The sequence below is a fragment of the Homo sapiens genome, chromosome 1 (assembly GCF_000001405.40).
Source record: "Homo sapiens chromosome 1, GRCh38.p14 Primary Assembly".
NCBI lineage: Eukaryota > Metazoa > Chordata > Mammalia > Primates > Hominidae > Homo > Homo sapiens.
The window spans coordinates 4547907-4564825 of record NC_000001.11 but is presented as its reverse complement, the minus strand read 5'-3'; the positions used below and the strand labels follow the sequence as shown (position 1 = coordinate 4564825).

Below are 16919 nucleotides of genomic sequence, written 5' to 3'. Positions count from 1 at the left end.
AAAAATTACATTTTTCCTGCAACGGGATTCATCTGTCTTTTACATGTGCTCAGATCTCAGGTCTTTACCCTCTTTTTTTTTTTTTTTTTTTTTTTGAGACAGTTTCACTCTTGTTGCCCAAGCTGGAGTGCAGTGACACCATCTCGGCTCACTGCAACCTCTGCCTCCAGGGTTCAAGTGATTCTCCTGCCTCAGCCTCCAGAGTAGCTGGGGTTACAGGCGACTGCCACAACGCCTGGCTAATTTTTTTGTATTTTCAGTAGAAACAAGGTTTCACCATGCTGGCCAGGCTGTTCTTGAACTCCTGACCTCAGGTGATCCGCCCACCTCGGCCTCCCAAAGTGCTGGGATTACAAGCGTGAGCCACCGCGCCCAGCCAGGCTTCACCCTCTTGGGCAGCTGCGGTGGGCAGGATGGGGGTTCCCTGGGTAGAGGGGAAGCTGCGGAGATTAGGATACACTCTCCTTGTCTGGGTGCATAAAGGGTTAACTGGCTGACGGATGGCTCACTGCTTATGAAGGGGCGGGCGCTAATTCATCCTGGAGGCACCAGCTTCAGAAACAGAAACCTTGGCCGTAAGAGAGAGCAACGGCACATAACCCCAATTACCCAGAGTAATAAGGCTCAGCAGACACTTCCAAGGTACGGGGAGTATTTGCACCTGCTCAGCAGTTTCCTCTTAAAAGCCAACTATTTATATCCATTCTCGCCCTCGGACTTGATGGGAACCAAATGTACTTGGTGTTCTCTCTAGTAGGGGGTCTCATGTAACCATTTTATTTTTATGAATGAGGTGTTAAATCTTTAGAAAAGAAAAGTTCATTCCTTGCTCACAGGAGGAGGCGGGGAGATGGGGGAAGATTCACCTTGGCATGACCTTGTCCATGCCCTCCAGCTGCTGTTGGGTACCAGGGAGCCCAGGGCTGTGGCACCCCCTGGTGACTGTAAGCAGTGGCCTGGTTGGGACTTCGCTTGTGGGTAACTCACATTCTTTCCGTGCCACCATCCCTACTGACCTCCTCCTAGGTCCTCTCCCTGCCACACCCTGGCACATGAACATGGTATCCTAGAACCCCAGTGTTCAACCCTCAATTGCCAGCGTTGAAGTGGCCTGGGGAAGAAAGCTTAGAAACATAAAGGAGCCTCATGTCAAACAGCTAGGGCTTCATGAGAAGCCCTAGGCTTAGGGCAAAAATTGACAGGGTTTAAATGCTTCCCATTTTAGCCAGGCTCAGTGGCTCCCATCTGTAATCCCAGCACTTTGGGAGGCCGAGGCAGGAAGATTGCTTGAGTCCAGGAGTTCAAGACAAGCCTGGGCAACATAGGGAGACCTCCCAATGTCTACAAAAAATAAAAAATTAGCCGGGCTTGGTGGTGCGTGCCTGTAGTCCCAGCTACTCGGGAGGCTGAGGAGGGAGGATCACTTGAGCCCAGGTGTTAAACGCTGCAATGAGCTATGATCGCACCATTGCATTCCAGCCTGGGTTACAGAGAGAGACCCTGTCTCTAAAAAAATAGGCTGGGCACAGTGGCTCACACCTGTAATCCCAGCACTTTGGGAGACCAAGGCAGGTGGATCACTTGAGGTCAGGAGTTTGAGATCAGCCTGGCCAACATGGTGAAACCCCATCTCTACTAAAAATACAAAAAAAAAAAAAAAAGCCAGACATGGTGGCACATAGTCCCAGCTACCTGGGAGGCTGAGGCATGAGAATCACTTGAACCCGGGAGGTGGAGTTTGCAGTGAGCTGAGATCATGCCACTGCTCCACCCTGGGTGACAGCATGAGACTCCAACTCAAAAGTAAAAAGTAAAAATCAAAATAAAACAAAATAAATAAAAACAAGTCTCCCATGGGTTTCTATCTTGCAGATGGGGTTGAGAAAAACCATCTCAACCTGAAACTTTGATGGCCTGACTTTCCCATCCCTCAGGGAAGGGAGGGCCAGCCAGGTCTCTTGGCTCCGCTGTTGCTAAGAGCATCTCAGTTGCAAGTGGCCTAGGGAAGGACAAAGGGCCGAAGGAGAAGGAAATGGGTATTTACTGAACACCGGTATGTGTCAGGCACTCAGCAAGATGCTCTACAAATTGTCCTTCATTTTGTTCATGCAGCAGCATTTGGGGGAAAATATCATTTTCTCAATGCAGAGAAGAATTAAAGATGGCCACAAAAATTCTTTGCCACTCTTCCCACGGAGAGGAAAACTCCTTGCCCCTCCACTTGAATCTGGGCAGGCTCTGTGACTGTTTGTCCAGTAGACAATGGCCGGGGTGATTCGGTGCTGTCTTCCGGGCCAGGGCCTTCAGAGATGGCAGCTTCCATTCCCATCACCTTAGAATGCTCACTCTTTGGGAAGACATTTGCCGTGTAAGAAATCAACGACTCGGGCCAACTACGGTGGCTCACGCCTGTAATCCCAGCACTTTTGGAGGCCAAGGTGGGTGGATCACTTGAGATCAGGAGAGTGAGACCAGCCTGGCCAACATGGTGAAACCCCATCTCTATTAAAAATGCAAAAATTAGCTGAGTGTAGTGGAGAGCACCTGTAATCCCAGCTACTCAGGAGGCTGAGGTAGGAGAATCACTTGAATCTGGAGGTAGAGGTTGCAGTGAGCCAAGATCATGCCACTGAACCCCAGCCTGGGTGACACAGTGAGACTCTGTCTCAAAAAAAAGAAAAAGAAAAGAAATAAACTACTCTGAGAAGGCCACGTTGCAAGGAAGCCCACGCCACCCCCATGGAAAGGCCATGGAGAGAGCAGGCTGCCCCACCCGCCCCAGCCTTCCTGCCAGCCCAGATTTGGTGCCTAAGATGTAAGTGAAGAGGCCAGTTTGCCCTTCCAGCCCTACCAAACCTTTGATGACTCAAGATGCAGCCCCCATCTAGACATGACCAGAGAGATTCCAGATGAAAACCGCTCCACTGAGCGCAGTCCATCCATGAAACTTTGAGAGATAACTTACAATTGCTGTTATAATAAACCACGAAGTGTTAGAGTGGTTTGCCGCACAGGAAGGGATCATGAGAAGTCCCATCTGTCTGGGTTGTCCTAAGAAAAGAAAGTGGGTCTCAAAATGATTGCCTTCTCTGAGGCCTCGAGATGACCCAAAGGTTGAGACCGAAACTGGAATTTGCTAGACTTCAAGACTGAATTTTTCCCCAAACTGAATCCCATCAGATACAATACTCATGTTAGGGTCAGAATTTACTACCCAATTTAAATTAGAGAAAAAGCTTTAAACCACCTCCTAAACAGTGCTGTTGTCTAACTCCCATCACACCCACTGAGACCCCTCACCTTTTCATCTGCAATGTGCATGCACCTGCCCCCACCCCTCTGCCGGAGAGCAGCACTGTCAGCCCCTTTCGCAACCCAGCACCGCCCATGGAGTGTAGCCGCTGCCTGCCTGCCACGCATCCGCCAGAACCCCCTTGACGCGGAGTATCCATCAGGCTGCTGCCGCATGAGCTTCCTGCCTGCTGCTTGCAGCAACATCTACTCTCAGGAATGCCATTACACTCTAATGAGCCACTCGGAAGCATCAACTTTGCAGCCTGCCCAGCTGCTATGAGGGCTTTTATGGCTTCACTGCAAAGATAAAAACACCCAGAAAATTCCTGAAACTGATCTTAAACTAGGCTTTACTAGAGGGCAATCTGGCTGTCTGCTATCAGCTGATGAAACTCTGAAGGTCACTTTCACAAGAAGAGCAGAGCGGCAAGGGCTTGGTGACCATGGGACCCAGCCCTTTCCTTCTTTTGACCTGGAATTGATGGGCAATGCTGACTGCGGTCAGGAATCCAGGCATCCATAGACACACACACACATGGTTTTGCCTTCACCACCCATCTCCAGGGCCATAACAATGCCTGACTTCTCAGAATGGGTTGGTTCATTCTCTTCTCTCCTGCCAGGAGTCCCAAACCCCAGGGCACCTGGGATGTCACTGTGTAAGAAACAGCTGGGCTTAAGAAAGACAGGAGCTCATGCTACAGAATGGTGCCAGACTCTGACTTCACAGGGTCAGAGTAGAGATGGCTCAGTCAGTTTGTTTTGTTTTGGCCAAAGAACATACATCAGGTTCAGGGGACCAAATGCATATTCGGCATGGGGATGCCTCCCCTCAGGCCCTAATGATGAAAATGACTATGACAATGATGATCATAATGACTATGACAATAATAATAATATATCTGCAGGAGCAATGTTTGCTATAGGCACTTCCAGGAAGGCCTTCATTTAGCCCTCACTCCACCTTGAGAGGCAGGTGTGAAAGCTTAGTCAGGGTGAGTAACCTCCCTGAAGCCACCCAGCAAGGAGGGCTGGCTCTGATTCCAGCACCAGTTTATTCCTCAGCACAAGCTCTCAACTTGCTTCCCACATGGAAGCTGCTGAGTCTTTCTATGTTCTCCTTGCCTCACTCAAACTCTTCTTCCAAGGTTTGCAGGAGTGATGAGGGACATAGAGAAGGATCTCCAGCTTGATAAAAGTGACCTCTTTAAAACACATTCTGTTTTCCTTGAGATTGATAGAACTATCTTCCAATTTTCGAGGGTTGTTCTGTATCAGAAAAACCACACACCAATAAGAAGCCCTTCCTTGGTCCATGTATAGCTGATGATCTTGGAAACAGTCACACTCCTAAACTTATTAACGTTCCTACCCATTTTTATTAAGCATCTACTATGTGGGCAAGGCCACCATGTTGTCGGTGGATGTGAGAACATGGGGGCCCAATGTCCCCAAAGGGGTCTAACTTTAAAAACATTTCCTCACAAATATAGCATGATGCATTATTAACATGCTGTTAAATACACTTGCATGATTGTAGAAAAATGAGTTCTATCCACAGTAAAATTATTTTATTATTATGTGCATATATTAGAAGATTAAGTAGTAAAATAACCAAATACAGCAATAATAACTTGCTATGCTTCTTCACGTAATTTTGCTTATGATATGTTGATTAAACTCAAGTTCATTACTCCAGAAAATATTGACCTACTTTGCTCCATTTAATATCATCCAAACAGCACTTTCACATATTCTCATAACCGTCAAAACTGTCCTGTCCTTGATAGATGGGTTGCTCGCATGAAACAGCAAATTTCAGGCCAACTGCTGATGGAGCCAGGAGTGGGCATGCCAGTTTGCCAGAATGCAAAGTCAGATCTCGGTCCCAGTCCATGCCTGCGACTGCATTGTGTCTAGCTCAGCTCTTTTTTCTAATTTTGGGGGGTCAGAATGAGATGGGTTGAAAGACGTTTTGCACTGGGGATGTTGGCCAGGAAAACCTATGGAGGTGGGAAGAAGTTAGTTCACCCCTCCCTATGGGTCCCTCATATGGTGCATCATTTCAGAGACAAGACAAATGGCAGTAGAGGTGCTGAGGTGACTGATTGCCCAGCTGGACAGGGAGCCCAGCACTCCATCCAGTGTCCTCAAACATGGTGAGGTATCATTTCCTCTTGGCCTTACCCGAGCAGCCCCTTCCTCTCAGATGTCTCGTCCCTCTCCCACCCCACTGCCTTCCTCCCAGCTCCCCTGGACCTGTCCTTCAGGTCTCTGCTCAGTGACTCATCCTGTGGACAGCCTTTCCCACACCAGGTTATCTGCTCCTCCTCCGTGGCCTCTTACTCCCTCATCCCACTGGATTAGACTGCCATTGCTTGTCCGATTGTCCCAGCAAGACCCTGAGCTCTGAGTGTGGGGGTCTGCAGCACAGGATCTGGTGCTTTGTAGACATCCAATAAATATTGTTGAACAAAATGAGTTTAGGACACAAAACCCTAGAACGTATGACCTGAAAGAGCCTTTGGTTGATCCTAATTTCCCATGACTTCAGTCAGTGAAAAAGTAACCCCCTGAAGTCAATCTACCCTGTTCTATAAGTTTTGACAACAATTGATGACACTGCAGGGCATGCCATCTACTATGAAGGGAGGACATCTCTTAGATAGGCCAGAAGTCATTTTGGCATTCATTAAGAGGGCCGGATATTTTGATGATGCCATCCCATCCCATTTAAGTGAAGAACAGATCCTAAACCATTGTCAAGTGATTTATGCACTCACTCAATGAGCAGGCACTAAGGATTCATGCCAGATGTTGGAAAACAAAGATTATTAGAGACATAATTAAAGTAACTCCCAGGCCATGGAGAGAGAACACAGGATTAAGTCACTAAATTGGATGCAGGATCAACGCTCTACAACAGACAGTTGACCAAGCAGAAGGCACAGTCTGTGAGTGCAGAGAATCAGCCTTGCAGGGACCAAGCCCTGACCCTCCCTCCAGGTGGCACACATCTTCTGGGCCCCAGGAAGCTTCTTGTGCAGGCTTGGAGCCCAAAGGCTCTCTGAGAACTCCCCACTTCCCTCGCATTCTCAGGCACCACTCTAAACAGCAGTAGGTGGAGACCAGGGGTTGGATGCTTCACTCCTATGGTTTCTGCTGTTCTCCAGTAAAATGAGAGTCTTGGACCAAGCCAATATGCAAGATTCCTTCCAGCTCTATCTTCCACAGAGAAAAAAAATGGCAAAGAGTTTGGCCGCATGCAAGAGACTGGTTTTGCTTTGCCAGAGCCGCCTGAATCTCATCACCAGTCCCATCATCACTTCTCACAGCTGCCCGAGAAGCAAAAGGAGTGGCTGTTGACATAAAGGGGTCTTGCGTGGTCATGACTTGGCCCAGGTCCAACCGTGACCAACTGAGTCTCCTCTGTAGCTCATGGGTCATGTGGCTTCTCCAAAGGGGCTGGGCATCACCACAAGCCATACAGCTGAGGGCTTGATTTGTTCAGGTCAAAGTGAACAGAGTAAATTCTGAGTCCTGAATATCCATTTACCATGTTAAAGGTGAAGAAAGCACAAAGTAAATTTTCCAAGTGTGTGCTTCCATTCTAAACTGGGAAATTCCTGGTTTAGGGTTGTATCTTCACAGAGCTCACAAATGATTTTTTAGAGAAAAAAAGAAAAACTTGATGTTTGTTAAGATTTTCCTGAGCACTTATGAGATACACAGGCTACACAAAATCCCAGGAACTTAAACAAATCAACAGGCAAAAACCAAATAACCCCACTAAAAAGTGGGCAAAGGACATGAACAGACACTTCTCAAAAGAAAACATACAAGAGGTCCAACAAACATGAAAAAATGCTCATTATCACTAATTGTTGGAGAAATGCAAATAAAAACCACAATAAAATACTATCTCATACCAGTCAGAATGGTTTTGTTAAAAAGTCAAAAAATAACAAATGTTGGCAAGGTCGAAGAGAAAAGGACACTTGTACACTGTTGATGGGAATGTAAATTAGTTCAGCCACTGTGGAGAGCAATTTGGAGACTTCTCAAAGAACTGAGAGTTGAACTACCATTCGACAGAGCAATCCCATTACTGGGTATATACCCAAAGGAAAATATATCCTTCTACCAAAAGGATACATGCTATGTACATCACAGTACTATTCACAATAGCAAAGACATGGAATCAATCCAAGTGTCTATCAATGATGGATTGAATAAAGAAAATGTGGCACGTATACACCATGGAATACTATGTAGCTATAGCAAGTGAAATCATGGTCTTTGCAGCAACATGGATGCAGCTGGAGGCCATTATCCTAAGCAAATTAATGCAGAAATGGAAAATCAAATACCATGTGTTCTTACTTACAAGTGGAAGCTAAACATAGGGTACACATGGACATAAATAAGGGAATAATAGACACTGAGATTTATTAGTGGGGGTGAAGGGCAGGGGAAGGACTGAAAAACTACCTACTGGGTAGTATGCTTACTACCTGGGTGACAGGTTCATTCTTACTCCAAGCCTCAGCATCATGCACATGTACTGCCTGATTCTAAAATAAAAGTTGAAAAGGAATAAAAAAAATAAATCCCAGGTTTTCTCTCTGCCTTCTTGAAATCCACTCTTCAAAATTTGCTTTTGGTTGGCTGGTGACTAAACTCATCTCTTGGAGGCCTGAGCAGAAGTGAATGCCCAACAGGGCCATAGGTTTTATGCAGGGATTTATACCTGTGGGTCTCGAAGTTTTTGGTCTCTGGACTTCTATAAGTTATTTAAAAAATTGAGGATCCAGAGTTTTTATTTATGTCTATTCTTATTTATCATATTAGAAATTAAAACTGAGAATTAAAAACATATTTTTTTATTAAACATATGAGCTTTTTACATAGTAATATAAACGTTTTTACTAAAACAACTATATTTTATGGAACAAAAAAATTAATGAGAAGAGTGGTGTTATATCAAAAATTTTGCAAATCTGTTGAATCTCTGGTTTAACAGGAGACAGATGAATCCATAGCTGCTTCTCCAGTGAATCACAATTGGTTCATTGTGACAGTCCATGTCATGTAGCTTCTGGGAAACTCCCCACTCCACCCCAGAGAGAATGAGAGTGAAGAGGACAAGTAATATCTTAATCATCTTAGTATCTGGAAGACAACAGTTTTGGCCTTGAAGACCCCCACCCACCACTGGGTCTAGGGACCTCCCAGGAGTCCTCATGCCACATTTTGAGAATCACAGCTCTGCACAATCTTCAGGTAGAAACATTCAAGATCCAGAAAGTCTCAAGGCTTTAAATGCCTGAGTTCAAGCCCCATCCCATCACTTCCCAGCTGTGTGACCTTGGGCAAGTCATCTAACTTTCTGACCATGTCAGTCTCTTCATCTCTAAAACAGGATCAATGACACCTACATCTAGGCCGTGGTGAAATGAGAAGTAACGGAGTCCCAGCAGTAATGCGGCACTTGGCTGTCCCCTGGCTTCGGTAGACACTCCTTCGCCAGAATGCTTCCTTCCATGCGCAGAGGGGTCTTCCGTCTGTAACCCCTGACCTCTCTCTGCGCCTATGCCCTCTTCTCTTCCCCAGGAAGATGTGTGACCTATCTCATTGGTAAATTTGGGGTGATAAAACTGAGGCTGTCTCTGGAAGAGCACATGCTCTCTGCTCCTCCACGATTAAACACAGGAGTCCTGAGCTGGGTGGGCAAATCTACTTGACGCGGTTGGCTTTGAGGCTATTGGAACTGGAGCTGCATCTTCTAGACTGACCTCTGCCGGTGATGTGCTCACATTTCATCTTCCAATGGCTTGTTTCTCTTTTCTTTTTTTTTTTTTTTCTTTGAGACGGAGTCTCGCTCTGTCGCCCAGGCTGGAGTGCAGTGGCGCGATCTGGGCTCACTGCAAGCTCCGCCTCCCGGGTTCACGCCGTTCTCCTGCCTCAGCCTCCGGAGTAGCTGGGACTACAAGCGCCCGCCACCACGGCCGGCTAATTTTTTTGTATTTTTTAGTGGAGACGGGGTTTCACTGTGTTAGCCAGGATGGTCTCGATCTCCTGACCTCGTGATCCGCCCGCCTCGGCCTCCCAAAATGCTGGGATTACAGGCGTGAGCCACCGCACCCGGCTGGCTCATTTTTCTTTATGTTATTTCTCTATTTGTGGCGTATTCCAGGGGATGGGGGACTGGGATAGGAAGAATCATAACAGTGTGCCCAGAGGTCCCAATAGCTACCATTATTGCCATTATCAGCATCATCGTCTCATCCTTCATTCTGTCACTAGTGCCATTTCATGCTGTAAAAATAGTTATTGTAGCCACTGAGACACAAGTACATACACACCCCACTCTCTCCAATATCTTCTAACACATTTCTAAGTATATTTCAAATTATGTAAGAATGAGATACCTCAAAATACTCCCATAATCTAAGCATCATCAATTGGACTCAAGAGTAAGGGATTAAGAATAAACTGAAATTTTGGATTTGAGGAATTAGTTTCAGGATGGAAAAATTAGTGTCAGTTAGTTATTTCACCAAACAACATTGTCAACCGTACAAAAAAAAATTCTCTCCTGTGAATGAGACATGTGAGAATAGTTAATTCTCAGTAACTCTCTTATTCACTTAGTATAATCATTTATTCATTTACAGGCTTATAGGTGGTTCTTGAATAAAATTAATGAAGAGAAAATAGTCTTTAGGACATGGCTCTGTGTCCCTTCCAGGAACATGGCCAACCTTACGAATTCCCAGGAGCCTCGATTCTGGACCAAATCCCCAAGATCGTCACCAGATGCGGACCGCCGGCCCTTTCTAGGCCCCATCCCCAGCCACGGCCCTCTGCCTCTCCCTTTTGCTGAGAATGCCTTGCACTGGTTTATGCTGTTGGATAAAGTTCTAAACCCATTTCTAATTCAGCCAGGAGGTACATGAATGCCTTCATCCAGGCAATTGCTCCCAAGGCCGCAGTTCTGTTGATTCTTTTCCTCCCTGGCCTGAGCATCCCCCCAGGGCCTCTTAGTTATTGCTTCGAAGCTGCATCAACTCAAGCAGGCCACTAAGGTGCCAGCAGGGTCCCCGAGGCTGGAGACAAGGAAGAGCACCCTCATTAGTAACTATCACCAGAACCTTCGCTGGGGCTAAAATAATTAGAGCCACTTAATGAAACGGAGCCAATTAACTTCCAGTTTATGACCAAGAAATAATTTCACCATGTATACAGACTCAGAGATAGAGGGAGATGAACATTGCTCAAATCCCAGGATCAGGGAAATGTTACCTTGCCTTATGCATGAGCTACCTTTCACACGACCTTTTCAACATCCCAAACCTAAACCAGCCTGGGGCTGCCTGATGACCCCAGCCTCATAAAGCATGCATCTTTCTGGAACATATTTTTCCAGAAAGCATTTCCAGGTAGGACCCTTCCTCGAGTTCCCCTTGCAGGAGAGGAGCCATTGACATGCCCCCTAGTTGGCTGTAGCTCACCATGGATGATAAAGGAAAGCAGTGACTCCATCCTCTTGGACCTGAAGATCTTAGAGCCAGGGAAGGCAGCCCCAGTGTGGACCACGATTTTGCCTTCATGGCTTCAGTACTCCTGGCTGCAGCCTCTTTTGCAGTGTAGTGCCTGTTCTACCCCAGATTCACCTGCCTGAGGACTGGTTCGCAATTGGCTTACTCTTGCCTGGTCAGTCCAAGCCACAGTTAAATGCATTAGCCCTGGGTGCTTTTGCACGTCACCATATGATCCCTGTGACATCAAACCTAGTTGTGCTTCAGGGTAATCTTTATGGTATTAAGATGGGATGGAGAGATTTGGGCTCTGAGCCCCCAGGATTACATTCTTCCAATCTCAGCCAATAGGGCCGGAGGCAGCAGCCAGATGCAATACAGCAGCTGGACCACCCCAGAATGCCAGCTCTCCCCTCAGTGTCTCTTCAGAACAGTGAGGCAGCTGGGGCAGCTGTCTCCTCTCCTCTACAGAGCCTCCTGACCCTGGTCTTAGCCTAGTGTTGCCTGCTGCTCACATAACAGTCATGGGCCAGGGATTGCCATAGGTAAGGGGAACACAGAGATGAAAACAGCATGATCTTCCTCAGGAAAATAGTAGGCAGGTCAAAACAGGTGCCCAAATAATTCTTATATAAGAAGGCCAAAAATATGTGTCAAGAGAGGAGGAAGAGATGATAGGTTCATATAAAGAGAAGATTACAGGGGGTGTAGATTCAAGGAAGGCTTCACGGAGGAGGTGCCATTCGTGAAGGCTGTCTAGTGGCTTAGGGTGGGATAGACAAGCAAAGATGGAGGAATAAGAAAAAGAACAGGCAGAGAGAACAAACATATCTATTAAGGAATAAGAATGAAAGAAATGAAATGTAAGAGGCCTAGGGGGTAAAGTTGGCATCTTTGTGATGGATTGGAGATACAAGAAGAGTGAGTGGGAAGAGACTTGGGTGACACCCATGCCTTTAGTTTGAATGCAGGGCAACTGGTGGCAGCATGTTCATAAATGACTAAGTAGAGTTTGGGCATGTTTAGTTTGAGAAGCAGATGGGGCATGCAAGTGGAGATGTCTATTCAAAAGTGTTAGAAACACATCTGGAGTTTGAGAGGATGGGTAGATAAGAGACACAGATGTGGGATTCATGGGCATAGAATTGATAGTGAAATGAAATAACAGTGCTCAGAGAGGAAGACCATGGACCACCTCGATCACATGCTCGGAGTAAAAAGAGTAGAGGACCCTGCACATAAACATCGACAGCATGGGCAGACAAGAGGTGCACTCTGAGAAGGCTGCCAAGGGGCAGGCAGAGACAGCAGAGATAAGTGTGCTTCTGGATTCACATCTCTTCTCCTCCAGAGTTTCTTCTGTGGCATCCAGGAGCATGCCAGCCTTCGCTCAGTACTCCATCCTCAGTGCCCATCACAGTCCCTGGGACACAGAAGTCACTCAAGTGTTGAGAACTGGCAACAGGAGGGAGAGGCAGTGTGGGATTGTGGTGCAGGTGATATGGTTGGGCTTTGTCCCCACCCAAATCTCAACTTGGCTTGTATCTCCCAGAATTCCCATGTGTTATGGGAGGGACCCAGAGGGAGGTAATTGAATCATGGGGGCTGGTCTTTTTCATGCTATTCTCGTGATAGTGAATAAGTCTTGAGAGATCTGATGGGTTTATCAGGGGTTTCTGCTTTTGCTCCTTCCTTATTCTCTCTTGCCACCCCCATGTAAGAAGTGCCTTTTGCCTCCCACCATGATTCTGAGGCCTCCCCAGCCATGTGGAACTGTAAGTCCAATTAAAACTCTTTTTCTTCCTAGACCCAGGTATGTCTTTATCAGCAGCATGAAAACGGACTAATATAAGGGGCAACTCTGGGACCTGGGAAGAAACCAGAAGGTAAGTGGCTTGGAGCAAAGTGGGTCTTCATGGCTCACTGGAAAACCCTCCCTAGGCTTGGCATTTCCTTTCTCGTGGCATTGTCAAAGGGAACATTCTGTTGACATCAGAGGATGAATTCTGCTTCAAGGAGTGAGAAAGTACAGAGGGTTTAGTCATCACCCCTCTCAGACGCTTGCCCGTGCTGTGAACCACTGTCGGAGGAAGGAGGAAAATCTGTGGGTTCAGCCCACAGGGAGCTCAGCTGGTACCCACAGCAGTCTGTAGAGCTCTTCTCAGCTCGTTATCAAGCCTAATATTCCAATGGCCCACATTTTATTCTTTATATTCTCAGATATAATTTCCTATTAAAAATACAAATCCCCACAAAATCTCACTTTTTAAAAACGTCTCATTCATTACTTATACCTAAATGTGAACATAGAGTCAAAGAGAAAGAAAACAAGATTAAAGAGAGACCTAGGTGGGTATTGCATTTCTTACAGAAGGAAGCAAGGTCCACCAAGTCAGAAAAAATGAACTACGTGCAAGCTAGAGCATAGAGGCAGAAATATCCAAATCACAAGTTTTGCATGAGGATTTTGGCAGGAAAAAAAATCTGTTTCTAGCTTAAAGATGTTACCTCTGTAGTGTTTTCAATGTTTGGTGTCTCACCATCAAGGCCAGGCTCCAAAGTGACCATGCTGAATGCCACGGTAGGGGCTGCCCAATATAGTTTAGGATCCTGTTTGGATTTTTCTGAGCTCTAAACAATAATTGATTCCCCAGATACTTAGCAGAATCTGACTACACACAGTGAAATTATTTCTTGGTCATAAACTGAAAAGTTAATTGACTTCATTTCTTTAAATAGATTCAATTATTCGAGCAACAATGGTACTTACAAGTCAGGGATGCCTACAGGAGATGAAAGTTTAAAGATGCTACCCAAAGGCCCTTGCAAACGGCCACCAAGGAGCTTGCAGACTGGGAAGGGATTTATTTGTGCTTGTAAAATATACAAACTGCCCTCAGTGGCATGATTAGGTTGGATGCAACTAGCTTATTAAAAATTAACACAGCCAAGAAATGATGCTTGTATCTATGCTGGAGTTGAGTATTGTTAAGAACAGGAGGAATTTTTAATTGGGGGGGTTTTATGTGGAAACCCTCCATCTCCTCAGCCTCTCAGAGGAAGCAGCCAAGCCACACACCCAGGGCTGTCTTGGCCTCCACTCACCACACCGTGACATTCTTCTCCTTCAACAGTACTCACTCTTGAGCTCTCAATGAAAAGGTTAATTCTTAAAGCTCACAGAGGAAAATTAGAGTCATGGCTGGATCCATCCCTAAGCATAAGGCTTCCTTCTATGCAATAGACATCTGAGGGTTTAGTTCAAACACCTCTTCTTACCATGTTCTTTCTCCCCTGCAGCTTTGGCAGACTCTGAATGTTAATCAGTCCCAGAATAAAGTGTGTAATTAGCTGAGAATCTGACCCAAACTCCAGCCCTCTTCCCTGATAAAAGTTGTTTCAAATTGCCGTGACCCTATGGCCCAGGCATGTTATGTCCTCATACCCATCCTCTCATATGCATGAATTACCTTCTGAAAGAACATGCTTAGAAGCAGAGTTCAATCATTAACCTTAACCTAGAATTTCACTAAAGCAAAGATATTAAAAACTGCAGGGTTAGGTGGGTTAATTAGGAGCCAATATCCATCTTTTTCTTGAAACAAATGAAGACAAGAGATGGGATCAGGGGCTGTTGATCACATGTCTACTTTGAAGTACGGTGAGGGCTGGGGGTAGGAAGGTGCGGTCCAGCTTGCATATTGGAGTTTTCTCTAATAAAACCAGGAGGAGAAAGACAGGAACCCCACTGGGTTCTGGCAGAGGCTCACCCTGAGGATAAGGGGGGAGATGGCAGAATCTACTTTTGGAGAAGGGAATTATCTACTCCGGGAGAGGAACATTTGTGCTGTTGTGGAGCTGTCCAAAGGACCTAGTGCTGAAAGCATTTAGGTGAAATATGATACCAGGTACATCTTCGAATAACAATTAAAGCTGCACTTGTTCTTTCTCCAGGGTCTGGAGTAGGTCATATTGAAGAGTGGACAGTTTGGGACTACATATTAAATGCTTTTCTGAGACAAGGTCAAAGGGTCCAATTTAACTTTTTACCCTGAATACTGTGAATCATTGTTTGAACACCAGTTCCATTTACAAGCACATAGCATGTCTAAGACATGCACATATGAAGAAAGCACCCAGAGACATCTTATAAGATAACACACTTGCCAATTTTTAAATGAACTAAAGGGATAGCAAAATGATGGATACCTAATTTTCCCATCAGAGGACCCCTTCCCACCTAAGTGTGACACACCATTGCCATAGCTATGTGCAGTGACTTTTGTCTTCTTTCATCCTCATGTGCTATCATGGAGTTCCTCTCCCCAAATGATTTCGAGATGACATTGTCATTTCACCATTTATGCGGCATGTCTATTCGCTGTTTGACTTTTCAAAAAATCATTTGAAGTTAAAAGCGCAAAAACTAGTGTAAATATGAGATCAATTAAATCTATCTATGCTTAACTCTTTTCAGAATTAACCTATGAAATGTTTGTCAGTTAAATTATTAACATGTTACTCTGAAGATAATGAGTCAGTTTGAGGTTATTTAATTGCTGGCAGAATTACAGTATTTACACTAAAATCTTTTCTGCAGCTCTATTCTCATGTGTGATAAGTTGCTGAAAGATTTTCAAGTCTAGCTCTTTCTGGTATTTTGTTTGGATGATTATTTTCACTTGAAATGATACGAATTTGTTTAATCAATAGGGTCATCAGCTATTGGTTAGATGGGTGTCTCTGGAACCCATATCTGTATTGATAGGGAAGTTACTAATGAGGCTAATTGATCATCCTCCTTCTGTGCAGTGTAACTGGGTATAGGATTGAGTCTTGAAAACCCAGCACCTGGCTCCCTTCCTGTGTAGGATAACTTGGGTTGGGGCTCAGTTAGCGCCAACTCCCAGTTCTTTGTGGAAAAATGAGGGTTCTACTGGGAGCTGGACATTCACAGCACACAGTCCTACTGCCCTTTGAGTCCTTGCTGGATAGTAAAGAGATGTCCAGTTGAATGGCCTTTGTGGTATTTTACTCATTCACCACTGGTGTGGGTTGAGATTTCAACCTATCTTGCAGGCCACTGCTGAGCAGCAAATGCCCCTCCAATGTTTTCCCAAATAAGTTCTACTTTCCTGCAGAAAATCCAGCCAGACTTTAGAGCAGAGTGCCTGAAGCAAAGGCCTTCATGTTGTGATCGATCAAAGAGACTGTATGCATCAAACATGGCAGCTCCGTCCATTGGCCTCTTTGATAATGCTTCTTCTCTAGCCAGATTGTCAATAGTTGACCTTTGTCTAATGATAGAGCAAGACAGAGAACCACTATCCGTGGCAGGGATGACACGGGGGGAGGCAGAGGCTCTAAACGTATCTTTTAGCAAGGAGCTGGGGCTGCTCTCTTCTTAAATGGAGCAGCTATAGGAGACAGAGCTGAGCTGGTCTAAAAAGAAAGCTAAATGTCACAGATTTAAATAACTGTTGAGGGCCACCATTGAGCCCTGTGATATGTCCAGCTAGAGAATACAATGAGGACAAAATTAAGTGGTCTATTCTCAAGGATTCGGGATTCAGAGAACGCCACCTTCCACCCATGCCCTCATTTTATAGTGAAAGAGAAAGCACTCTTGGGGCCCTGAGGGAGGGAATCTGCCCAGTAGCGGAAGATTCCCCAAGTAGGGGAAGCCTGGCATATTGGAAAAGAAGTCCTATTGGGAGTTCAGTGTCTCTAGTTCCAGTTCCAGGAAATCCTGTGGGCAGCAGAGATATTCTCAAGCATGGCGGGTTCTTTCTCAGGCTGCTGGGCTGACCGTTCTAGTTTTCTCAGAACCTCTGTAGCAATCCAGCCGCCTGCGTGAGGCTGTGCAATGTCTATTCCCCTCTGGAGCAGGCTTTTTCTCTGTCAGCAGAGCAGGGTACACAGCTTTAGGGAGAAGTCCTCGGCACCACATAGATGAATGGTGCGTGAGAATGGCTGTCATAGAAGGGGGATGACTTCCTGGCCCCTCAGTGTACAGGTGCAGAAGACGGCAGAGCCCTCAGAACACTTGGATATGCTTTAAAAAGGGGGCAAAATCCTTTTTTG

The 16919-nt window shown here is 45.7% G+C and overlaps 1 long non-coding RNA gene across 1 annotated transcript; it reads left to right on the top strand.

Annotated features, from left to right (window-relative positions):
* Positions 1-8260: 8260 nt before the first annotated feature.
* Positions 8261-12821, top strand: LOC124904578 (uncharacterized). Its single transcript, XR_007067009.1, has 3 exons — positions 8261-8805; positions 12643-12648; positions 12777-12821. It is a non-coding gene; the product is annotated as an uncharacterized LOC124904578 (long non-coding RNA).
* Positions 12822-16919: the final 4098 nt, after the last annotated feature.